Source organism: Homo sapiens, chromosome X (assembly GCF_000001405.40).
Source record: "Homo sapiens chromosome X, GRCh38.p14 Primary Assembly".
Taxonomy (NCBI): domain Eukaryota; kingdom Metazoa; phylum Chordata; class Mammalia; order Primates; family Hominidae; genus Homo; species Homo sapiens.
In genome coordinates, this window is record NC_000023.11 from 67,771,056 (window position 1) to 67,797,762 (window position 26,707).

At 40.1% G+C, this 26,707-nt stretch overlaps 1 long non-coding RNA gene and 1 pseudogene across 1 annotated transcript in view, besides 1 other annotated feature; both read right to left on the reverse strand.

Annotated features, from left to right (window-relative positions):
- Positions 1 to 13,835, reverse strand: part of NXTAR (negative expression of androgen receptor regulating lncRNA) — a 39,942-nt gene extending 26,107 nt beyond the window's left edge. The window contains exon 1 of the long non-coding RNA XR_938423.3: positions 13,755 to 13,835. This is a non-coding gene — a long non-coding RNA (negative expression of androgen receptor regulating lncRNA). The remainder of the gene's footprint in view (positions 1 to 13,754) is intronic.
- Positions 9,752 to 10,046: an enhancer, noted in NCBI's record as "tiled region #14511; K562 Activating DNase unmatched - State 24:Quies, and HepG2 Activating non-DNase unmatched - State 24:Quies". NCBI's record gives its function as "activates a minimal TATA promoter and a strong SV40 promoter by Sharpr-MPRA in K562 cells, with weaker activation in HepG2 cells {active_cell/tissue: HepG2 | K562}" and the evidence as "EXISTENCE:reporter gene assay evidence [ECO:0000049][PMID:27701403]".
- Positions 20,855 to 21,994, reverse strand: BMI1P1 (BMI1 proto-oncogene, polycomb ring finger pseudogene 1; annotated as a pseudogene).

The window sequence follows — 26,707 nt, forward strand, 5'->3', positions numbered from 1 at the left end:
GTATAAAAAAGAACCTAACAAATCTTACAGAGCTGGGAAACACACTAAAAGCATTTCACAATGCCATCACCAGTATTAACAGCAGAATAGACCAAGTTGAGGAAAGAATCTCAGAAACTGAAGACTGGCTCTCTGAAACAAGACAATCAGACAAAAATGAAGACAAAAGAATGAAAAGAAATGAACAATACCTCCAAGAAATATGGGATTATGTAAAGAGACCAAATCTATGAATCAGTGGCATCCCTGAAAAGGATGAAGAGAAAGCAAACAACTTGGAAAACGTATTTCAGGATATTGTCCATGAAAACCTTCCCAACTTTGCTAGAGAGGCCAACAGTGAAATTCAGGAAATACAGAGAACCACTGCAAGATTCTACACAGAAAGATTATCCTCAAGACACAAAATGATCAGAGTTTCCAAGGTTGAAATGAAAGACAGAATATTAAAGGCAGCTAGACAGAAAAGGCAGGCCACCTACAAAAGGGATACCACAGGCTAACAGCAGACCTCTCAGCTGAAACCCTACAACCCAGAACAGATTGGGGCCTATATTCAAAATTCTTAAAGAAAAAAAAAAAAAGGCTTCAAGCAAGAATTTCATATCCAGCCAAGCAAAGCTTTCTAAGTAAAGGAGAAAGAAGATCCTTTCCAAATAAACAAATGTTGAGGGAGTTTACTAACACAAGACCTGCCCTTGGCTCACGCCTGCAATCCCAGCACTTTGGGAGGCTGAGGCAAGTGGATCACAAGGTCAGGAGATTGAGAGCATCCTGGCTAACATGGTGAAACCCCATCTCTACTAAAAATACAAAAATTAGCCGGGTGTGGTGGTGGGCGCCTGTGGTCCCAGCTACTCGGGAGGCTGAGGCAGGAGAATGGCGTGAACCCAGGAGGCAGAGCTTGCAGTGAGCCAAGACTGAGCCACTGCACTCCAGCCTGGGCGACAGAGCAAGACTCCTTCAAATAAAAAAAAAAAAAAGAAAAAGACCTGCCTTACCAAAGATCTTGAAAGAAGCACTAAATATATAGAAAGGAAAGACTGCTAGCAGCCAATATAAAAACACACTTAAATACACAGACCAGTGACACTATAAAGAAATCACACAATCTGGCATAATAACCAGCTAACAACACAATGACAGGATCAGATCCACACATATCAATACTGACCTTGAATGTAAACGAGCTAAATGTCCCAATTAAAAGGCACAGAGTAGCAAGCTGGATAAAAAAGCAAGACCTAATTGTATGCTGTCTTCAAGAGGCACATCTAACATGGAATGAAACCCATAGGCTCAAAATAAAGGGATGGAGAAAAATCTACCAAGCAAATGGAAATCAGAAAAAAAGCAGGGGTTGCAATCCCAATTTCAAATAAAACAGACTTTAAACCAACAAAGATCAAAAAAGACAAAGAAGAGCATTATATAATGGTAAAGGGTTCAATTCAACAAGAAGACATAACTATCCTAAATATAATGCACCCAACAAAGGAGCACCCAGATTTATAAAGCAAGTTCTGAGACACCTACAAAGAGACTTAGACTCCCACACAATAATAGTAGGCTACTTCAAAACCTCATTGACTGTACTAGACAGATCATCAAGGCAGAAAATTAACAAAGATATTTAGAACCTGAATTTAACATTGGATGTAATGGATCTAATAAATCTCTGCAGAGCTCTCTACCCAAAAACAACAGAATATACATTCTTCTCATCACCACATGACACATCCTCTTAAATAAACCACATAATTGGATATAAAACAATCCTCAGCAGATGCAAATGAAATGAAATCATACCAAACACACTCTGAGGCCACAACACAATAAAATAGTAGTTCAGATGTTTAAAATAACTCAAAACTATGCAATTACATGGTAATTAAACAACATGTTCCTGAATGACTTTTGGATAAATAATTAAATTAAGGCAGAAATCAAGAAGTTCTTTGAAACTAAGGAGAACAAAGATACAACATACCAGAATTTCTGGGACACAGCTAAGGCAGTGTTAAGGGAGAAATTCATAGCGCTAAATGCCCACATCAAAAAGTTAGAAAGATCTTACATTAACAAGATAACATCATAACTGAAAGAATTAGAGCAGCAGGAGCAAACCAATCTCAAAACTAGCAGAAAACAAGAACAAAAAAAATTAAGGCTAAACTGAAGGAAATTGAGACAGGGAAAATGATTCAAAAGATCAATGAATACAGGAGTTGGTTTCTTTGAAGAAATTAATATGATAGGCCAGTAGTTAGAATAATAAAGAAGAAAACAGAAAAGATCCAAATAAACACAACTAGAAATGACAAAGAGGATGTTACCACTGACTCCACTGAAATAAAAATAACCACCAGAAACTGCCATAAACACCTCTATGCATACAAACTAAAAAACCTGGAAGAGAGGAATAAACTCCTGGACACATACACCCTCCCAAGACTGAACCAGGAAAAGATTGATTCCCTGAACAGACCAATAATAAGTTCTGAAATTGAATCATAAATAAATAGCCTACCAACCAAAAAAAGTCCAGAACCAGATGGATTCACAGCTGAATTCTAACAGATATACAAAGAAGGGCTGGCACCATTCCTACTGAAACTATTCCAAAAAATCAAGAAGGAGGGAACTCCTCCCCAGTGCATTCCATGAGATCAGCATCATCCTGATAACAACATCTGGTAAAACACAACAACAACAACAACAAAAGAAAAAGCCAGGCCAATATCATTGATGAACATTGTAGCAAAAATTCTCAACAAAATACTTGCAAAACAAATTAAGCAGAAAATTAAAAAACTAATCCACCATGATCAAGTAGGCATCATCCCCAGAATGCAAGGTTGGTTCAACAAACACAAATTAATAAATGAGATTCATGACATAAACAAAACTAAAGACAAAAAACACATGATTATCTCAATATACACAGAAAAGGCTTTCAACAAAATTCAAAACCCCTTCATGTTAAAATTTATCAATAAACTATGTATTGAAAGAACATACCTCAAAATACTAAGAGCCATCTATGACAAAACCACAGCAAACATCATACTAAATGGGCAAAAGCTGGAAGCATTCCCATTGAAAACCAGCACAAGACAAGGATGCTCTCTCTCACCACTCCTATTTTAACATAGCATTGGAAGTCCTGGCCAAAGCAAACAAGCAAGATAAAGAAATAAAGGACATCTAAATAGAAAGAGAGGAAGTCAAACTATCCCTGTTTACAGACAACATAATTCTGTATCTGGAAAACTCCATACTCTCTGCCCAAAAGCTCCTTCACCTGATAAACAACTTCAGAAAGGTCTCAAGATAGAAAATCAATGTCCCAAAATCATGAGCATTCCTATACACCAACAATACCTAAGCTGACAGCCAAATCAGGAACAAAAATCTCATTCACAATTGCCACAAAAAGAATAAAATACATAGGGATACACCTAACCAAGAAGGTGAAAGATTTCTATAATGAAAATTAAGCTCAAAGAAATCAGAGATGAAACCAAAAAATGGAAAAACATTCCATGCTCATTGATAAGAAGAATCAATATCATTAAAATGGCCATACTAGCTGAAGCACTTTATAGATTCAATGCTATTCCTATCAAACTATCAATGACATTCTTCACAGAACTAGAAAAACTATTTAAAATTCATACAGAACCAACAAAGAGCCCGAATAGCCAAGACAATCTTAAGCAAAAAGAACAAAGCTGGAGGTTTCCCGTTACCTGACTTCAAACTCTTCTGCAGGGCTACAGTAACCAAAGCAGCATGGTACTGGTACAAAACAAACACATAGACCCAGGGAATGGAATAGAGAGCCCAGAAATAAGGCCACACACCTACACCATTAACAATAACAAGCAATAGGTAAAGGACTCTCTATTCAATAAATGGTCCTGGAATAACTGGCTAGCCATATGCAGAAGATTGAAACTGAACCCCTTCCTGCACCATATACAAAAATCAATTCAAGATTGGTTAAAGAGATAAATGTAAAACCCCAAACTATAAAAACCCTGGAAGGCAACCTAGACAATACCATTCAGGACAAAGGAACGGGCAAAGATTTCATGATGAAGACACCAAAGTAATCGCAACAAAAGCAAAACTTGACAAATGGAATGTAAAATTAAGACCTTCTGTGCAGCAAAAGCAACTATCAGATTAAACAGAAAACCTACAGAAAGGGAGAAAATTTTTGCAAACTATCCATCTGACAAAGGTCTAATATCCAGCATGTATAAAGAACTTGCCAATTTATGAGAAAATAAACAAACTGTAATCCCAGCTATTCGAGAAGCTGAGACAGGAGAATCACTTGAACCCAGGAGGCGGAGGTTGCAGTGAGCCGAGATTGTGCCACTGCACTCCAGCCTGTACAATAGAGTAAGGCTCTGTCTGAAGAAGAAGAAGAAGAAGAAGGAGGAGGAGGAGGAGGAGGAGGAGGAGGAGGAGGAAACCCACATGTGACCAACAAGCATATAAAAAAAGCTCAATGTCACTGAAAACTAGAGAAATTCAAATCAAAACAACAATGAGATACCATCTCACATATCAGAATGGTTATTATTAAAGTCAAAAAATAACTGATGGGGATGAGGTTCCAGAGAAAAGGGAATGCTTATACATCATTGATGGAAGTGTAAATTAGGTCAATCATTGTCAAAGCAGTGTGGCAATTCCTCAAAGAGCTAAAAACAGAAGTATCATTTGACCTAGCAATCCTATGACTGGGTACATACCCAGAGAAATATAAATGGTTCTTTTATAAAGATACATGCACATGAATGTTCATCGCAGCACTATTCACAATGGCAAAGACATGAAATCAACCTAAATGCCCATCAATGATAGTCTGGATAAAGAAAATGTGGCACATATATGGCATGGAATACTATCCAGCCATAAAAAAAGAACAAGATTGTGTCTTTCACAGGAATATCAGTGGAAATGTAGGCAATTACCCTTAGCAAACTAATGCAGGAACAGAAAATCGAGTACTGCATGTTCTTCTGATAAGTAGGAGATAAATGGTGAAAACTCATGGACACAAAGAATCAATAGACACTGGGGCCTACTTGAGGGTGGAGAGTGGGAGAAGAGAGAGCACCAGAAAAAATAACTATTGTTGCTAGGCTTAGCACGTGGGTGTAAAATAATCTGTACAACAAACCCATGACACAAATTTACCTATATGACAAATGTGCACATGTACCCCTGAACCTGAAATAAAAGCTAAAAAGAAAGAAAAATTAGAAGCAACCTAAATATCTCCCAAGAGAAGTACCTATGGGATATTATGTCATTAGGAATGATACTTTAGATCAGAATGTTTTGCCAATGCATATTTTCAATAATATAACGTTGCATTACACACACACACACACACACGAGCGTGTGTGTGTTTGCCAATATAAGATTTTCAACAAAACGTCAAATAATGGTTTATGCCTGAATGGTGGGATTGTAAGAATCTTGAACTTTCCTTCCTTTTTTTAAAATATTTGACCATGTGTATGTATTCTTCTAAAATAAAGTGTTAACATAAAAAGATATAAGCTGTTAAGGGGACTGGTAAGAAGGAGGCTCTTGGAATATTACAGCCCTTTTTGCCATCAGTCTTTTCTCCAAGACTGTCAGAAATACGGCCGGTTTTAAAAAGCTGAGTGCTGACAGTCAATATTGGAATCAGGCCAGCCCTCCAAGGATGAAGAAGGGGTTGTGACATAAATGACTAGAGGCCCATTGATCCTGAAAACTTCTGAGCCATCAGAGGAATCAGGTTGATGTGCTGATGTGCCCTTGCTTGGCCTGATATCCCAGGGCTTCATCTCTGGCAGCCAACTGGAAATCTTACTTTATCCACATCTGAATGAGCCAGCCAGTATGTGGGGTTCTCCCTGGCAGAGGCCCAGGTAGGCTGAGGGAGATGTTGCTATTGGAGCTGCCTTCTCCACCGAGCAGCAGTGAGCTGCTGGTTCTCACTGATCAAAGTCGTTTTCATGCCACAGGCCTTGAGAACTGCCCCCAGGAGCACCCAGAGAAGGTGGCCCCTACCCTCCTGAAGGAATGAATGAGGGACTTGATGTCTCAACAAAATAGCAAAACAGGCTCATGTAGAGAGAAGAGAGGAAATTATTACTAAAGTTTGAAAGCTGAAAAGGAGGGAGGAATATTTCAGGCCATGGAGTTAGGCTCCAAAAAGATGTCAACAGGCTGAAGTAAGTGGTTGAACCTGACCAGATGATTGACAGTTACAAATGGAGAGGCCTGCAATTGAGTGCAGAAAACCAACTGACTATTCACAGGGTGGAATAGACTGTCCTATACACAGTTTGCAGAAAAGGAACTTGAGACTTTCCCTTATAGGCATCATCACTGAGATGATAAAGCCCAAAAAATCTAATGGGAACTTAGGCTGCAACAACATATGTATAGTGTTTAGATCAAGGGAAGCAACAGTCCCTTTCCACTCTGTAGTGGTTAGACCCTTACTGAGGGACTTCCTTTTGGCTCGGACTACCATACATTAAGTGGGTCATATGTAGGATGTGTACAGAAGGGAGTGAACAGACAAGGGTGCGGCTGAAAGAATTTGGAGCTGTGGCCATTTATGCTAGTGTTTTAGTCCATTTTGTGTTGCTATAAAGGAATACCTGAGACTAGGTAATTTATGTAGAAAATAGGTTAATTGGCTCATGGTTCTGCAGGCTGCATAAGCATAGTGCTGCTGTCTGCTTGAATCCTGGTGAGGCCACAGGAAGTTTACGATCATGGCGGAGGAAGAAGAGGGAGCAAGAGAGTGAAGAGGGGTCCTGGACCTTTTTAAACAACCAGATCTTTCATGAACTAACTGAGCGAGAACTCACTCATCACCAAGGAACTAGTGCTAAGCCATTCGTGAGGGATTTGACCCCAGGATCCAATACTTCCCACTAGGCTCCACTTCCAACATTGGAGGCCACATTTCAATATGAGATTTGGAGGAGACAAACATCCAAATCCTATCAGCTGGAGAAGAGAAGACTTAAGAGAAGTGCTCTTTTTGTAGACCTCTAAGATATTGTCAGGAACAGAGAGAGCAGATGGAGTCTGAGAGGCTTCAGAAGGCAGAAATGAGACCCTTGGGTGGGAACCAGCAGGAAACAAATTTCAGCTCAACACAAGGAAGGACTTTTTAACTGAGCAGCCTATAAATGAAACAGGTTGTCATTAGATGGAGTGAACTCCTTATCATAGGAGATATGCAGGAGGGGCCTAGACAAGTGTTTTTCCAAGTTATTGCAGAGAAGAATCATATCTAGATAGATAGATAGATAGATGATAGATAGATAGATAGATAGATAGATAGATAGATAGATAGATAGATAGATCTTTTAAAGGGAGCAGAGGTAGTCTAGGTAATCTCTTAGTTTTATACGTGCGTAGTATTCTAGGTTCTGTGCAACTGAGAATTCCCCCAGTACAGGCCCAAGCATAATCTGTTTGGTAGTGTCTCACAGCTCACAGAGACTTAGATAACAATTCCTGCCTCAAAAGATTCTGTTAGGGGATCCATGGCCTTTCCTCTGGAAATTCAGAAACTTATTTTCTGACTTATCTGCCAGCAGAACTGCTTTACCACTTCTAATTACCAAGAGAATATTTTACAGCTTACTTCTCAAGATGAGGGTTGAGAACCAGACAAAGACAGGGGAAAAAGATAGGCAGATGTCATAATTCGATAACCCAGAAAGAGCACGCTTAGAGGAGACACAAGGAGTGGTCTGAGAGACAGGCAGACAGACAGACAAGACACAACTTTCAGGAAGGTGAGGGCAGATGAGGGAAGAAGTGGGGAGTGGGCAGAAGAGGCCAGACTGCCTTAAATGTACATTCACTGGAACTCTCATTACAATGACAAAGCTCTCATAATAGTGACCTTAGTAGTTAAACAATCTTTGGATTTCTAAGTGCTTCCTAAATGCGGATTATTTTTTTAATTGATTCCACCCAAAAGGTACTAAATTGTCCAGTAAATCATTCATGTCTTTCTTGGGGGTTAGGTATTTGTTTTACACAAGGAGAGAGCGCAGCACCTGTGCAAGAATCTCACCATCCGGGGAAGACAGCTACAAATCTAGACTGGAATAGCCTTCTGACTCTTCACACCAGCTCCCAGCCTGCCTCTGGGACACAATCTCCAACCTTGCAACAAGGAGTGCTACAATATCACCTTGGTATGCAGTGCAAAGAGCAGGCAGCAGCTGTGAAGGCAGGCCAGGGAGGGGGATAAGTACTTAGCTAACCAGCACACTTGCCAGGATCAGCACCTAGAAAGACCAAAAGAACTCTCAACATGAGAGTTTCCTGTTAACTGGACACTCCCCGATTCATTCTCTTATTTAATCCTCACTCATTCATTTAACAGCTTTTCACTGAGTACGCATTATATGTCAAGCACTGTTCTAGGCACTGGGCATGCAGAAGTGAATAAAGCAATCAAAGAGCCCTGCCCTCATGGAGCTGACATTTCAATTGGAAAGACAATAAGTAAATAAATTATAAGGTATGCAAGAAAGTTATAAACGCTATGAAAATACGTAAAGCTGCATAAAGGGAATTAAAAGTACCCAGTGAGGTTCTCTCCCTGTTTTACAGATTTAAAAACCTGAGTTTTGAGAAGAGAAATGAACTTGCCTGGTATAGTAACCCAGTCTGTGGGACTTTTTCTATTTTGCCATACTGTCTTCAGGGACACACAACTAAGGAGTTGGGAGCCAGAGGGTTGACCTGCTGGCATGTTTGCAGTGGGGAGTGTCCTGTATTAGGCACAAGATCAGGAAGAAGGTTCTGATAGGGCCTAAAAAACCCACCAGACTAACAGCTTTACTTGCTGGCCAGGGCTTCAAAATGAGACTTCCAGTACCATCCTAGAGAGGCCAAAACACAATGGGGAAAAGCGAAGCATGCTAGAGAGAGCTAGGATTCTTATATCCTTAGAGTGCAGTTCCACCTGCCTAAGTACTGTGTGTTGACAGGTTCATCTCTATTCCTTTCTGGGCCACAGACCCCAATTTGTATAATCAAGGACTCGATGAACTTCCTAAGATCTCTTTCCCCTTTGACATTATATAGGCCACTGAGCTTAGTGGTAGATCTGGGCCAGTTACTCAAAACATTCTATAAGATTACTTAGTTATTTTGGTTTTCCCCTGGCCCAGAAGTGAATAGCACCAACACCCAAAGTTCCTAAATGCTCACTGCTCAGCAAGGCAAAAAATGAAAGAAGCTAAGGAAACTATATCCAAATCCACAGTTAAACTCCAGCTGAGCATACTGAGGTGGAACCCAAGGAAATTGAGTCAGTAATAATGTGTAAGACAAGTAAGAAGATATAATCCTGGAGCCAGAGGAAAAGAGAAAGAAAGGACATGGAGAAAGCACCCTGGTAACTTCCCCAATAAGACTGCTGGGTTCCCTGACACTGCTCCCATCTTCCCCTCCAGCCTATTCCACCACCTACAAATGCAGTCTGGGTTGTACTTGCTGCCCAGATCTAGCTTACCATTACCATCACCTTCTATCCCTATTCCCCTATGTGCCCAGGAAACCACAGCTTGAAGAGAAGGGTTTAAAGGATTATTGCATAGTGCAGAGTGTCTGCACTGATGTCAGAGGCCTGGTTTCCAGTCCCAGCTCTAACCCTGACTAACTCTGTGGCCTTGGGCAAGCTCCTCCCCTCTCAGTGCCTTGTCTGTAACTTAAAGGGCTTGTAATGTTTCTTAACTTTTCATGGAATCACAGACTTCTGAGAATCTGACGAAATCTGTGGATGCAGATGCCACAATTTAGCATACAATTTCAAGTGACTCATGGACTTGTAGGCTAAGAATTTCTGCCTGATAGCTAAGGGCTCTTTCAGCTCTGAGTCTGTGGTTCTGTGATCTGGGCATGAGGCCAAGATCTGCCTGCCCCTTCCGGAGGAAGAGGAGGAGGAATCCACCTTCCAAATATATCCTTTAGCTTGTGCTTCCAGCTGCTTTTGGCTTTAACCCATGATACTCTGAAGCCATGAGGAGTTCTTGCTTCCCTACAAAGCCTGAAACGGAGTAACAAAGACAAAGGCAAAGTGCTAGAGCTTCCTTCAAAACCCAATGGCTCTGAGCTTCCTTCCTAGAGCCTCTTGGGCCCCAGTCTAAAATTAAAGGCAGAGGTAGGAGGGCCTCTGGTTTAGGCAATAAATAATTCCAGAAAGGCTGGCTTGCATTGCTGGTTGGCAAGCCTTGTCCAGACCGTACTGTCCTCTGGTGGTTATGAGCATGTATAGGAGCTTAGCCGGAGGCCTCAAGCTTTAATGACAATATAGGGATAATAACCAGCTGGTAACATTAGCAGGGGTCCCACATGTACTTGGATTTTCCCCTAAGCTACTGCTATAAGCCAAGCTCAGAATGTGGGGTGTGGGGAGAGGGAGTGACAGTATTACCAGTATTCTGAGGTCAGCCTGAACAAGTGCTGACTTTGGGCCTTGGAGATATCATTCTGATTCTAGTGAGGCCCATGCCCCTTCTTTTGCAGCTCCCTGCTATTCTTTCCCTGGAACCCTGAAGTAGAGCTCCCCTATTGTGACCCTGCCAATAGATTAGCTATAAGGAAGTGGGAGGTCGGTCACAGTGGATAGCCAAGCCCCCACCTGCAAGGAGGACTAGAGCTCCTTCCCCATTACTGAGGCCAATCTCATATCTTCTTTTAGGTTTAAATATATATGGTCAACGGACTATTAGGCATCAAAAACATAGATGTCAGGCTGGGCATGGTGGCTCACACCTGTAATCTCAGCACTTTGGGAGGCAGAGGCAGGCAGATCACTTGAGATCAAGAGTTCAAGACCAGCCTGACAACATGGTGAAACCCGCCTCTAATAAAAATACAAAAATTAGCCAGGCCTGGTGGTGTGTGCCTGTAATCCCAGTTACTCGGGAGGCTGAGGCATGAGGCAGAGGTTACAGTGAGCCGAGATCGCGCCACTGCACTCCAGCCTGGGTGACAGAGCAAGACTATATCAAAAAAAAAAAAAAAAAAAAAAGATGTCCCATAAATTTTTTCAAATTCTATATATCCCAACTTAGCTCATTATTTTCCTTCATATCTTAATTGTATCATTTTGGAGACTTTAAGGTGCAAGTAACAGAAACTTAAGTAAAAATGATTAAATTATGTTAACAGTGTATTGGCTTTATCTAACAAGTACTCTGTTCTGCTGTTGGTCAATTCAGCGGTTCACTGGTATGAAGAATCCAGGTTCTTTCCATCTGTCTGCTCTATTACCCTTAGCATGTCAGCTGCTCCTCTTATGGTCAAAATATGGCTGCCACAGTGCCAGGCATCAAGTTTCCATACACTAATAGCCAAAGGCTGAAAAAGAGAAAAGTCTTTCATTTTCACTCATCTTTAGACAGCAAAAATCTTTCCTGTCACTTCTCTGCCTTTTGGTGAGGATCAAGTGAAGTAACCTTTCCTCCAAGCTCCACAACAGACTTCTTCTCACATGTCATTGGTAAGAATTGCACTATGTGCTTTAGCAGTTAGGACTTTAGATTCTGCAGCAATACAACAGAAAAACAAACAAATGAAACAAAACATAAAACAAAATGGATGTCCTGAATATAGTAACATTTTATTTCTGTATAGAAGCCCAGGGGCAGGCAGCTGAGGGCCGGTATGACAGACTCACAAAGTCGTCAGAGACCCAGAATCCTTCCAGCCTTCTCTTCTGCCATTCTTATGGAATTGCCCATATCTACATGGCCCCAAATGGCTGTTGGAACTCCAGTCATGACATTCATATTCAGAAAGGAAGACAGAGGAAACAGAAGAGAAGACGCACTATCCATTTTAAGGAGCCTTCCCAGAAATCGAATACAACACTTCCACTTAAATCTCATTGGTGCATGGCCACCATGGTGAAACCCTGTCTCTACAAAAATACAAAAATTAGCCTGGCATTATGGCGGGTGCCTGTAATCCCAGCTACTTGGGAGGCTGAGGCGGGAGAATCGCTTGAACCCGGAGTGGGGGGCGAGGTTGCAGTGAGCCAAGATCGTGCCATTGCACTCCAGCCTGGGCGACAGAGCAAGACTCCCTCTCAAAAAAAAAAAAAAAAAAGAAAAAAAAAACTCATTGGCAAAAACCTAGTGTCATTCCTACACCCATCTGTAAGAGAATCTGATAGCAAAGTGCCCAGCTAAAAAGTGGCACTCTATTGCTATGAAAGAAGTGGAGAACAGGGGGGACAGCCAGCACTCTGAAATGCATGTCACTTCCTAATCAATTAGTGGCAAAGTAAATGAAATAACCACGATTAGTTTAGACCAGGGTTAGATTAGACCCAGTGATTCCCAACCAGAGGTGGTTTTGGTCCCCAGAGACTTTGACAATGCTTGGAGAAATTTTTCGTTATCACAACTTGCGGGGAGTAGTACGACCAGCATCTGCTAGAGACCAGGGGTGCTGGTAATACCGTACAATGCACAGGACAAGCCCCACAACAAACATTGATCACACCTAGTATGTCAATAGCACTAAACATTGAGAAACCTTGGCTTATACTCATCAAGATCTACCATACACCTAATCTTGGTCTTCCAGCTGAAGAACTCAGGCTTCAATAGGCTTCTCTATGTCACTGAATAGCATCATAAGGTATCCATTTGCCCCAGCTGAAAATTTGGAGAATGTCCTTCCTCTACTTAAATCTCTATAGTGGTTTCTTATTGCCTTCAGAATAAAGACTAAAACCATTGCTGTGACCCGTGATAACCTACATGATCTGGCATCTACCAGCTTTATATCACACCACTCTCCCTCCTTGCTCTCTGTGGTACAGCCATATTAGCCTTTTGTTTGTTTCTCAAATGTGCCGTATGGTCTTTTTCACCTTTCCGCCTTTGCCTCATCCTTCAGCTCCAACTGTGGTAGACTGATTGCATTAATGGTCTCAATTATTCACCCTTCTCTTTATCCATGCTCTTTGTTGACATGTGACATGTCACTCCCTTCCACTCTGATTCTAGGCCCAGTTATGTTATTTTCTTCTGCCAATGGAAGGCTGGCATAAGTGACAGCATGCAAATTCTGAAGCTAGGTACTAAGAAGCATTGTGTGTGTTTTCTCATTCCTGTAGCCAATCCAGGACAAGCCCAGCCTGGTCATCACAACCCTAGTTGACCTGAAGTTATTCTAGTGAGAAATAAATATTTGTTGTTATACGGCATTGAGATCAGTGATTGTTCTGGAGCATTAGTAGCTCACTCTTAAACCCCTCAATCCAATATTACTCAAATTCTGTTAATCTACTACCAAAATATCTTTTCTATCTGTTACACTGACTCAGTTCTGTCCTTCAAAATGTTCTCACTCATCTCCCTATTTTCAGGCTTCCCCTCCTCCAGCCAGTCCTCCACTTTGCTGCCATAATTATTATCCAGAGAAAGAAAACAAAATAAACAACAAAATATGATCATGTGACTTCCCTGCTTAAAACTCTTCAATGGCTCCTCATTTCCCCAAGGATAAGACCCATACCCCTTAGCCTGGCATTGCGGGCTTCCCTTTTATACCACTCTTAACTGTAAAACTTCATCTACCCTTTCCTCCCTGTTATTCTCCTATCACAAGGTTCAAACATGTTCTATTTTTTCAGGTTCCTAGGCATTTACTCATCCCACTGTTCCCTTTCCCCTCACCTTCCCTGATTTGGGTGAAATCCTTTTCAGCTTTGTAGGCAGAACACAAATGCCAGTTCTTCTGTGCAGCCTTCCTTTTCCCTCACCCCCACTAGAAGATAACATCCCTCTCCTTTGTACTTCTATATTGAGCTGTTTAGCTCACACATCCTTCAGCTCCGAGTTATAATTAGCTCCTTAAGCAATCACCTGCCCTACTCCTTGTGAAATTCTTTGTGTAATTTTTCCCTGCCACTTTCTCACTCTCATGCCCTTCCCATACCTAACACGAAACCTGGCACAAAGTAGGTGCTCAGTAATGAGTATCTCATTGAAAGAATTCTCTAACTTTAAGTCCTTGGTGCTAGATCTGTAAGGTATTATATTAGGAGTAGTTATATCCCCAATATTATCCCCCCTCCCCTAACTTCATATTTCCAACTATAATCATCCATCAATGAGATTTCATTGGAGGCAGTTAGCTCTCCTTTTGAAAGCGATATGACACCAGAGAGGGAAAATGGCATCATTAGTGTTTAATCTAGGCCTTCCTTCCCATATATCTACCTGAGATAAGGTAATAAACATTTTGTTTTTGATGGGGTGGAGCAGGAATGCTGTATAGAGTTATACAGGATGCACACTGCAACTCTAAGAGGTGCCACTCAGCTAGGTATAGACACAACCTACAAAACTAAGATGGGGCCTAGGAGTAGTGATTCTGAAACAAAGAACCCAAGGGAGAGAGAGAAACCAGAGAGAGAAACTGAGGAGGCCAAGCAAGGATAGGATAAATGGAGAGAGATGAGAAGAGAGAAATGATGGAAACCAAGAACTGGAGGCTATAGCAATTTTTACATGTGCCTCTAGTGTATGAGCCTTCCTTCTGCAGCAATCTTTGGAAATGAAGACCACTATCCAGGGCAGGATTGCCTTAGAAAGAGTAAACACACTCTTTGTGTGTGGTCTGCCTGCTAATTCCCTGGTGTCAAATCTCGGCAGCCTTTTCTTCCATCTCCCACTTCATTCTTTATGGGGTTTCCAAATACCTCTTTCTCTGTGTCTCCATTCCCTAGCTTACCGCTGACTCTCTGTGTGACCTTGGGTTGATCCTTTCTCTTCTCTGGACCTCTAGTTCCCCATTGATAGCATAAGGCCGGGGGGGGAGGGGCGGGGGTGTTGGATAAACTGTGTTACAGTGGCTCAGTTCCAGGACACTGTGTATCTACGATTCCATAACTTTAAGGTGTGTTTGTGAGTGTGTTTATGCATGTGTATGAACTCGGACATGTCTCTGCCCCTTGGGCTTCAGCTTCCTAACTTACAAAATGGTGATATTTGACCCAGGCAATCCTTTAAGGCCCTTCCAGTCTTTAAATATCACAATCCCATCATTCTGTACTTTAGATGACCCCAAGCCTTCTCCTTAAGTCACATCCTAGGGCTTCTCCTTGTATCATTTCTGTGCCTTTGTTATCCTTTTACCCATTTTCTCTGTAGTTCAAGGATGTTTCCCTTCTTGCAACTCCCAGAAAGCAACATGCAGATTCCCAGGCCCTGCCCCAGAGCTAAGGAGCCATGTTTCCTTCTGGCCATACCACTGTTAGCTTCAAAGGACTATAAAAATGCCAGCAAATTACCTCCTCCCCACCCTGCCCCCCCAACCTCAGGAGAAAAAAAAAAGCCATCTGCTTGGAGCAGTCTCCCACTGCTAATAGTTTTTTTTCCAGTTGTCTTGAGAAACTAAATTATTCTCTAAATAAGCCCCACTTAAGTTTATAATAGATGTGATTTAAATGAGAAAATTATCACCTTCTCAGCCTGGAAAAAGCACTTCAATTCCTCTAGGGAAGAAATGCCTTCATTAGCCAGGGCCTCTCTCAGACCTTTCAAGGCCAGGGCCCCATGCTAGGGGTGGCACTCAAAAAAAAATATTAAGAATACAAAGGCTAGGAGACTGGAGTGAGCTCGAATTAGCCCCAGACTACTTGGGGGACACAGACATTCAAGGATCATTGGGCTTTCAAGGGGATCATCCTATACAACCCCCTGCCCTCATGCTGGGCAGCCTTCTTTTCAAGCCAGACAGATGAATCTCTCCTGGTTGTAAGGGTCTTTGGATATCTCATTTCACAATTTATGCCAAAATTACAGAGCTGTAAGTTTCTTAGAGATCATCAGGTCTAGCCGCCTTATTGCAGAGATGGGGATACTGAGGCCTAGAAAAAAGAGAACTTACCCAAGGTCACATAGTGAGTCAGTGGCAAAGCCATAGGAAAAGAAGCAACCACATTACAGTTTGATTTTGCCAATTTTCCACACCTCATCCCTCACCCTTTATGGCCTAACACTCTAGTGGAAGTCATCCCTGTCAGAGTTTTTGGTTCATGTGAATTCCCAAGTTTTGGACACAAGGGGAACTATCAAAGAGAGGGCCCTACTCCTTCCATCAGTTTGGTTCAAATAACTTGCCAACCACACCTGATTCTGCTTGGGACCTTGGTTATCTGACAACATAAGCCTATGATCAGCCTCTGTATCATTTTATGACTGCTCTGGCTCAGTTCCCAGCCTCTTTCTCTATAATCAGGCACAGCTGCCCCATCCTTTTCACAGACAGGAACTGCTGTAGGTCATGAAAGTTTCACGTCCCCTCAAGAAACATCTTTAAGAGCATGCCCTATGGGAAAGGAATGGAATGGGATGTATCATCCCTGGAGATCTTGATGACTTAGGCTTCTTCCACCCCAACTCGTGTCCTCCCAAACACCATCCCTCCCTATCAGCTCCCTCTGCTGATAGCTAGTCCAGTGAGTTTTAACACCCATAGGTTATCATGAATAAAACGGGGGGTGTGGAGTCACATTTTAGGACATCATGAAAGAGGGTATTATATTAAATTCTGCAAAAGTGATGTGTATGTGGCAGAACTTATAAAATCTGTCATTGGGGAGTCTTGGGAAGGGAGAATATGATGATCCCACTTGCTGCATTTTGTTTTGCATTCATCATCAATTCATTCATTCATTCCCAAACAGCCACCAAAAGTCTACTGTAGGTCAGGCCCTGTGCAAGATGCTAAGGATAAAGAAATAAGGCATAGAACCTTGTCCTCAAGGAGGTTCCAGATTAGTGAGGGCCATGTGCAAAGTGTTGAATAAACCTAAGTGAATCCCTAATTTTGCTTAGCTCTTCATAAAGGAGATAAATTTGGAGTGATTTTGGAAGGACAAAAGAGAGTTTTCCAACAGGAGAGGTGGAAAAGGGTGCTCCAAGCAGAGGAACTAACACGTCAAAAGCCCATAGCTGTATTGCAGTAGCTAACATTTATTGAGAACTAGCTATGTGACAAGTACCTTATGAACTAACTCACTCAATCCTGACAACAACCCTATAAGGTAGGTAATGTTATTATCCCATTTACAGATGGCTAACTGAGACACAGTGAGGTTATATGACTTACCTAAGGCTATCTTAAGTAGACAAGAGGGAAGGCAGTATTGCACCCTTCAGAGCTGAAGCTCTTAATCACATTATATTTATATATCATGTAAATAATATCTAATCTCTTTGAGATGCCAGTGGGAAACATCTTGGCTAGCATGTGGAGTTGAAGGGGGTAGGGACACAGAGGGCAAGCACAACAAGAAGCAGGTAGGTGAAGTCAGCATCAAAGGGCCATGTGGAGGAACAGTGAGGAACCATTGGAATGAGGGAGACATTTGCATTAGGTATGACTCTCAGGTACAAATGCAGGTGTACATGGCATATTCCATTTGCTTACCCCCATGTAAGCCATTAATGTCACCTCCCACGTTGGTGATCCTGATCCAGCAGGCTTATGCAGCATCCAGAGAAATGGGAGAAGGGCCTCTAATCTTCAGTTGTTCATTGCCACTGCTGACATCCCTGTTACCCAAGCCCCGTCAATGGACTATGAATGAGGCAGGCTGAAAACTGTACCTGAGGAAATTCGGCCCTAGGCAACCCCTGTCTTTGGCCTTAGGTTAGAAAGAGCTTGTGAGACCCAAGAGAGTGCTCCAAAGGTACCTTTGTTATCCTTCTAATATTTTCATTACTATATTTATAACTATACAATGCTAGTTCTGTACCAATACAGCCTTGTAAAGCAAGCATAATGCCATCTGATCCTTACAAAAGATACTCATTTTAAAAAGACAGTAAAATAAACAAGAAAGGTGGCACTTGTGATTTAGAAGGAAGCTGGGAGGGCAGAAATGTAGTTTCCTGGGAGGTGGTGCTAGCAAGGCCCCACTGAAGTGGTAGAGGCGCCTGGATACTTGTCTTCTGGCCACAAAGAACTGCTTTGTAAAATTGACCTTGTTAATAAGATTTAATTTTCTTGTCATTCTTTCCTTCTTTGATCTGTTTTTAGTATTTAATACAATTATTTGTGAAATGACAGCCACTTTCACCTGTACCGCAAAGAAGCAGAAAATATGTGTGGCAGACTGCTTGTCCTTATCCCATACCTACACTCTTATTCCTGTCTAACAGAACATTAATTTTGTTTGAGGCAGAAGTGTGCCCAGCTGAACGAACTACACTTCTCAGCCTCCCTTGCCTTGTAGAAGTGTAGCCAGATGACAGGTAGCCAATGAGATATAAGCAGAACTCACTGTGTTGCTATTCTAGAAGTTTATTTTTTTAAAGACACTTATATGGGCACATAAGTTTTGCCTTTTTCCTGTCCTCTTCTTTCTTCCTGCAATGCAGCCATGATGCCTGGAGCTTCAGGAGCTATCTATCCTGTAGATAGATACCTATATCACTAGGATGATGCTGCAGGCAAGAATGGCAGAGCATAAAGACACGAGGGCCTGAATATCCAGTGGTTCCTGGACTTGCTAGCTTTTGATTTCTTGTTATATGAGAAAAGCAAACCTTTTGCTTGTTTAAACTTCCGGGTTTCTTTGTTTGCTTATTTGCTTTTATTATTTGTGGCCAAATGCAATCACAAATTTATGTAGTTTGCATACCTTCTTGAGCTAGAGTTGAAAGAGTAGTGGGGCAGTTGTGTCTGCTGAGAAAGAGATCATCCTGAGAGGTGAGCTGTGGGCAGCCAATCCTTCCCCTCCTGCAGGCCTTCCTTTCCAAGCTCTTCTTTGTCCAAACCTGGGAATTTCTCCGTGCTCATTAAATTGAGAACTCTGTTCCCTTACAAGGGGTGACAGTGAGAACCAGTGCCTTCAAGGGAAAGTAAAACCCAGTAGATAAAATATGGGCATCTGATACAAACTGTACCTTCCCTCCTACACCCTTGTCTTTTGGAACTCTTCTTTGGCAAAACCTAGGATGTTCCCAGTTCTGATTTTTAAAAATACGCAAATGTAGTGATTTAATAGTGATAAGCAAGACAAAATGATAGAATTGTGCTTTTTTTTACATAGAGGGGACAATGAAATGTTTAGCCAAAAATTTTCCATATAAACCTGAAGCAATATTCATATAGAATAAACAGCCTCACATGTAACTGATAGATGATAAATATACACAGTTTGGCCAAAGCAAAATATATATGGAAAATTGTTGGAGTTATTCATATTTTATGTTCAACATGCTCACTCTATTTTAAAATTAATACATGTAGAAGATCATAATAAATTATTTGTATTATCAGACATTACAGAGAAGGTATATTCCATTGTTTATAACTGTTAAAGTAACTATTAAATTAGAAAATGCTACTATGCCCCATACTAAAAGAAAAATTCTGATTCATTTAAAAATTTAAACGTTTCATTTTAAAATTTGCTATAGAATTATAGTTACTGACAGGCATTTTAAAAACACACTAATTCCACCATAGCCAACAGGCAAAATTTAGAACGATATACACAATTTTTATATTCCTTGGTTAAGAGATTTTCTTTATTATAGTAATAAAATTTTAAAGTAAAAAATGTATTATTGGAAATATTTCAACATTGTAATGATTTGTCAATTTCTTCCAATGGAAAATAATTTAGATTTGTGTATCCACATTTAAAATGTTACATGATGATAAGCAAGGTTCAAACACAGAGTATCTGCCAAGTCTGAACTAGTTTGGATAACTTGAAAACCATTTCTAAGTACATGAAACACAATATTTTCATTATTATATTTATAAATATACAATACTGTTTCTGTACGAATACAGCATTGTAAAGCAAGCATAATGCCATCTGATTCTTACAAAATATATTCATTTAAACAAGTCAGTAAAAATAAACAATAGTACCCACTTTTAAAGCACACAAATTGTAAAACTGCTGTTTACTTTCTTAAGATTGTTCTGTGCAATAACAGAGAAGTAAAGTGAAATGAAGAACTCAAAATGGTTAAATATGCAAGAAATGGCTACTCACAGTTACATCGCAGCATTTGATGTATAGTCTATGCACCATTCTATGCATATTCTTTTTATTTTTTAAATTTCAAAATAAAAAGCATGTGTTGTCTACAGGTTCATAAAACAACATAATAGCAAGAACAATCCAAGAGCATGTAACACAGATGTTAATGGAGATTGACGAACTATGGACCAAGGTTTATGTCTATTTTAGAGGGTTTTCACATTCAAACAGTGTTTACAGAAAACACTTCACACAGAAGAAAACATTGCCTGCCCACACAAAAACCAGTTCTTTTTAAGACAATCTTTCTTTCCAAGTAATGTATATATGAATGTCACACTTGGTCCATCTTTTATAGTCAAATTCAATGTAACTACAAAAGAAAGCAAATTTGACCACAGTCATGTGTATTAGTGTTTGTAAAGCTGTAATGGCATAGACATACCTATATAAATTAGGAGCTTGGCTGAGCACTATGGCTCACATCTGTAATCTCAACACTTTGGGAGGACAAGGAGGGAGGATTGCTTGAGCCCAGGAGTTTGAGACCAGCATGGGCAACATAGGGAGACCCCCATCTCTACATTTAAAAAAAAATTTAAATTTGTTGGGCATGGTGGCACTCACCTGTGGTCCCAGCTACTTGGGAGGCTGAGGTGGGAGGATAGCTTGAGCCCAGGAGGTCTAGGCTGCAGTGAGTTGTGATCACACCACTGTGATCCAGCCTGGGCAATAGAGCAAGACCCTGTCTCAAAAAAAAAAAAATTAGGAGCTGGATTTTTTTTTCCTTAACAGTCTCAGTTATCAACCTAAGAATGAAGTTTCTAATAACCCATTTGCTGATGATTTTTTAGGTCTGTTGGCAGAGAAAGGTTCATAGTTACCAGTGGGACTGTTCCTGGTGGCATTCATAATACTGGGCATGTGAGGAAAGTGAAGATGAGGAGACTGGATTGGAGTAGTGCAGCTAGGCAAACAAGAAGAGCTAGAGGAAATAACTCCTACTAGGCCATTGGCCTTGTTAATTCCAAAGTCACATTCCAGTTCTCCAGCATTTTTGTCAGTTCATCTCTCCAGCAACTAAGCTTCATTCTTTTACTAATAGGTCAAACACCGTACTTTAAAGGAAGAAGTCCATTTCTTATCCACATATAAATGTAAGTAATATCCATTAATGTATATTTATCCTTTAAAGATTCCTCTTCATACATGACATCAATTGGGAAGTATAAGATATGTTCCTTAGGTTCATCACAGTCATTCTGGCTGAGCATTGTAAATAACTTTTATCATTCACCTCCTCCTTAAACTTCTCTTTGTCTTTGTTTACTTTCTGTTCTGGTCAAAAAAAAAAATCCAATGGATAAGCTTATTGTTTCGCCATCAGTTATAATTCTCTTATCTTCATCTGCAACTTCTCTATTTTCATTAGCGCCATTGGCAGCAACAGCTGAATAAAGAGATGCATAAAGATCCCTTCTCATTTTATTTCTGAAAAGGCCTGGAAGTAATTGTATACAATAGATTGAGGATTTTTATCTGATGTTATATTCAGAGCATAATGGTTTTGTGAACTTGGACATTAAAGGACAATATTTGCTGATCTATAGGTAACACGAAATACAGGTTTCACAGAAGGAATGCAGATATTCTATTATGGTTCTGGCATCAATTAAGTATCCTCCACAAAGCACACACATTAAGTGGGGATTTAGCTCAGTGATTTTGACTCCGATTGCTCAATGCATTTTTGCGTTATGAAAGATCTCAGAAAAGCAGCCACTTTGAGGTTATCAAAGCGAGTGGAAAAGACAATGAAAGTTAAAAGTCATTGAGCAGAAAATGAATGTGGGCTAACTGGCCATCTTAAAGTGAGCAGCAGATACCACTGTCAACAGCCAAAGAGGAGCCTCTGCTTCGTAGGTGTTCAGCTGGGCTACCTCCCAAGCCTGGCTCCTCTTCTGTGCCCTGGGGAGGGAGCATGAGGAAGGAGTGCGATCAGTAATCAATACTGTTCTGCTGGGCTAGAAGGTATTTCTAATTCGAATCAGGGCTTCCTTGACAACATCCCCTCCCCTCCCACCCCCACCCTCACCCTTGCCAGTTCTTTTTCAGCAAGGGCAGCTGTTTTCCTTGTGTGATGGCAGGAAAAGAAGAAAGGGGGCCTACTAACCTGGCTAGAAAATAGAGAGAGTGTCTAGAAGGCAGAAAATTAATAACAGTAATAATCATGGTTGCCATGGATTAATCATTTTCTTTTTCCCAGGCAATGTGCTATGGACTTTTTATGTTTATTTCTCATTAACCCTAGTACGAATGCTATGCCATAGGTGCAATTGTTGTTCCCGTTCTATAGAAACTCACACAGAAAGGTTAAGAAACTTGCCCAAGATCACACAACCAGCAAACTGAAAGCTGCAATTTTAACTTAGAAGCACTACCCAAGTATAACCTGAAAAACTTCCATAGTTTCTTATCGTCTCTGGGGAAGTCCCAGACATTTCAAAAGGTATTAAAGATCTAGTATGATCTGGCCCTAAAATACCTTTTTGGCCAAACCTGAATCAATTCAAAGGAACCAAGTCTGTTTGGGCTAGAAGTTTTTTTAGAGATCATCTAGTCTAATGTCCTTCTTATATAGATGGAGAGACTGAGGCGTAGAACTCATTCCTAGTGGTAGTACTAGAACTAGGACTCAGGTCTTCAGGATCAGTCCAGTATTTCTTTTCTGGTGTGCCTGGTCAGGAAAATGTAATTAATAAATGTTCATTAAACTCATAGATAAATGGATTAAAGTTACACCTAAATGACAACAAGTGGTTCCAACAATGCTGTGGGAAGGCATAGAAGGGATAGAGTAGGACTATTGTTCTTAGACCAGAAGCTCCTGGGAGGTAAGAACAAAGTTTCCTGGTCCCTTCCTATATACATACATATCTTATTTGTATATGACCCAGTTAGTACCATCAGGAACCTAGAAAATGCCTCATGAGGGCAGTGATTGATTCTTCTCTCAAAAGGTTGCATCTCTCTCTCTTTCTCTCTCTCTCTCTCTCTGTCTCTCCCTGTCTAATACACACACACACACACACACACACACACACACACACACACAATCTCTCTCTGGCAGAGTATCCTGTAAGAAAGCTGTCATGCAATAGTATAGAAGAAAAAGCATAGGAAAAGATAGATCTAGATTTGGGTCCAGACTGCTACTTAAAAGCTGTGTGGACTTAGACAAATCTCTTAGCTTCTGTTTCTTCATGTGTCCAATTGGAATAATAAAGCCTACCTCATGAAGTTATTGAGAAGATTAAATGAGATTATTTTATCAGCTAAGATTGTGCTGTCTTTGCGTAACAGAAATTCTTTCACCTAAAGTGGCTTAGATAATAAGGGCTTTATTTGTGTCACTAAAAAAAAAGGATGGACTTAAACCACAGAGGATTGGAACAGTGGTTCTAAAGTCTTTAAATATTAGGTTCTTAGGATTCTTGGCCCCCCAAATCCTTAGCATGTATATTTCTTCCTTGTGCTCTCAAGTTGCATCACATTCTAGGCATGAAAGGATGAAGGGCAAAAGGCACAGGATGAGTGCCAGCTCAATCTATCATTGGCCACAGTGGGTCACATTATCACACCTAGTTGCAGGGAGTTTGTGGAGAGGAGTATTTTAAGTGGGTGCATTATTTACCCAAACAAAATCATGGTTCTGTTTAGAAGGAGGAAAGAATGGATAGAGAGTAGGTAACTTGCCGAGTCTATCACAATGGTATAGGTCAAAGTTTTTAGACACAGAGCCAGTTTGCTATAAAAGAGATGTTTAGTAAATGTGAGTGATTGACCTATAAACCTGAAAAAAAGTTCAAGTGATAGATGAAGTCAAGGACATTCTGGCCCATTAGTGGGGCACTCAAGACCCAGGGTCCCAGCTTGGAGGTCTCCACCAAAGTGTCTACTGGGAAATCTGTAAATACAAAAAAAAAAAAACAAAAAACAAAACAAAAAATAACAAAATCTCTCATATTAAGTTCTTGTCCACTGGCTTTAAACCATTCCTGAAATTTTACTATTCAGCTTACTCTTTTGAGCTGAGGTATTGTCTCTAGGTTAAAACACAAACATGGAAGTCCTAGCCAGAGCAATCAGGCAAGAAAAAGAAATAAAAGGCATCCAAATCAGAAAAAAAAGTCAAACTATCTTTCCCTGCCAATGATATAATCTTTGGAGAACTCTAAAGATTCCTCCAAAATACTTTATATTTAATAACTGAATTCAGCAAAGTCTCAAGTATCAAAATCAATGCACACAAATCAATAACACTGCTGTATACCACCAAACAAGCTGATAATCAAATCAAGAACTCAATCCCTTTTACAATAGTTGCAACTTAACAAAAAGCATGAAAGTTATCCACAAGGAGAACTACAAGACACTGCTGAAAGAAATCATAGATGACAAAAACAAATGGAAATACACCCCATGCTCATGGATTGGAAGAATCAATATCATGAAAATGGCCATACTGCTCAAAGCGATCTACAGATTCAAAGTAATTCTTATCAAACTACAAACATCATTATTCACAGAATTAGAAAAAAACAATCCTACATTTCATATGGTGCCAAAAATAGAGCCCAAATGGCAATCCTAAGCAAAAGAACAAATCTGGAGGCATCACATTACCAAACTTCAAATTATACTATGAGGCTATAGTACACAAAACAGCATGGTACTGATATAAAAGTATATATATAGACCAATAGAACAGGATAGAGAACCCTGAAGTAAAGCCAAATACTTACAACCAACTGATCTTTGACAAAGCATATGAAAACATAATGTGGGGAAACGACACCCTCTTTAATAAATGGTGTTGGGAAAACTGGATAGCCACATGTAGAAGAATGAAAGTGGAGCCCTGTCTCTCACCATATACAAAAATTAACTCTAAATGGATTAAAGACTTTATTCTAAGTACTGAAACTATAAAAATTCTACAAGAAAATCCAGGCAAACTCTTCTGGACATTGGCCTAGGCAAAGAATTTATGACTAAGACCCCAAAAGCAAATTCGACAAAAACAAAAATAAATAAATGGGACCTAATGAAACTAAAAAACATCTTTACAGCAAAAGAAATAATCATCAGAGTAAATAGATAACCTAGAGAATGGGAGAAAATATTTGCAAACTATGTATCCAACAGAAGACTAACATCCAGAATCTACAAGGAATACAAACAAATCAGCAAGAAAAAAAAATCCTTTAAAAAATGGGTAGATGTCATGAATAAACATTTCTCAAAATAATATATACAAATGGCCAAGAAACATAAAAAAATGCTCACTACATCAAACATTACTACATTTTCTTCAGGTAAATGCAAATTAAAATCACAATGAGATACCACCTTACCTTGCCAGAACGCTAGGTAAAAAGTCAAAAAACAGGATTGTTGTGATTACTCACACCTGCAATCCCAGTATTTTGGGAGGCTAAGGTGAAAGTACTGCTTGAGCCTAGGAGTTTGAGACCAGCCTGGGCAACATAGTGGGACCCCATCTCTTCAAAAACTAATAATTAAAAAAAAATTAGTCAGGCCTGGTGGTACACATCTGTAGTCCCAGCTACTCGGGAAGCTAAGGTGGTTGACTCACTTGAGCCCTGGAGTTTTAGGCTGCAGTGAGCCATGATTGTGCCACCACAATCCAGTCTGGGTGACAGAGTGAGTGAGACCCTGTCACAAATATATATATATATATGTGTGTGTGTGTGTGTGTGTGTGTGTATATATATGTGTATATATATGTATATATATGTATGTATATATATATGTATATATGTACACATATATATACATATATATATTTTTTTAAAGATGTTGGCATGGATGTGGTGAAAAGGGAACACTTATATATTGCCAGTGGGAATGTAAATTAGTACAACCTCTATGGAAAACAGTATGGAGATTTATCAAAGATGTAAAATTAGATCTACCATTCAATCCAGGAATCCCACTACTGATATCTACTCAGAGGAAAAGAAAATATTATGCAAAACAGACACCTGCATGTGTGTGTTTATTGCAGCATTACTCACAGTCGCAAAGATATGGAATTAACCTAAATGCCCATCAACTGCTAAGTGGATAAAGAAAATATGGTATATACATATACCATGAGATATTACTCAGCTATTAAAACAAACAAACAACAAAAAAAACAAAGTAATGCCTTCTGCAGCAACATGGCTAGAACTGGAGGCCATTGTTCTATGAGAGGTAATTCAGGAATGGAAAACCAAATACCACATAGTCTCACATACAAGTGAGAGCATTCAAGCTATGGGTAAGCAAAAGCAATCAGAGTGGTATAATGCACATTGGAGACTAAGAAGGGGGAGGGTGCAAGGGAGTGACGGATGAAAACCTACCTATTGGGTACAATGTACACTACTCAAGTGATGGGTACACTAAAATTCCAGACTTTACCAATATAAAATTCACCCATGTACTGAAAAAATTTATACCCACAAAGTGATTGCAATAAAAAAATAAAAATATATAAATAAACCAAATAAAATACCAACATGTTATAACTTTAGATTGGGTAAC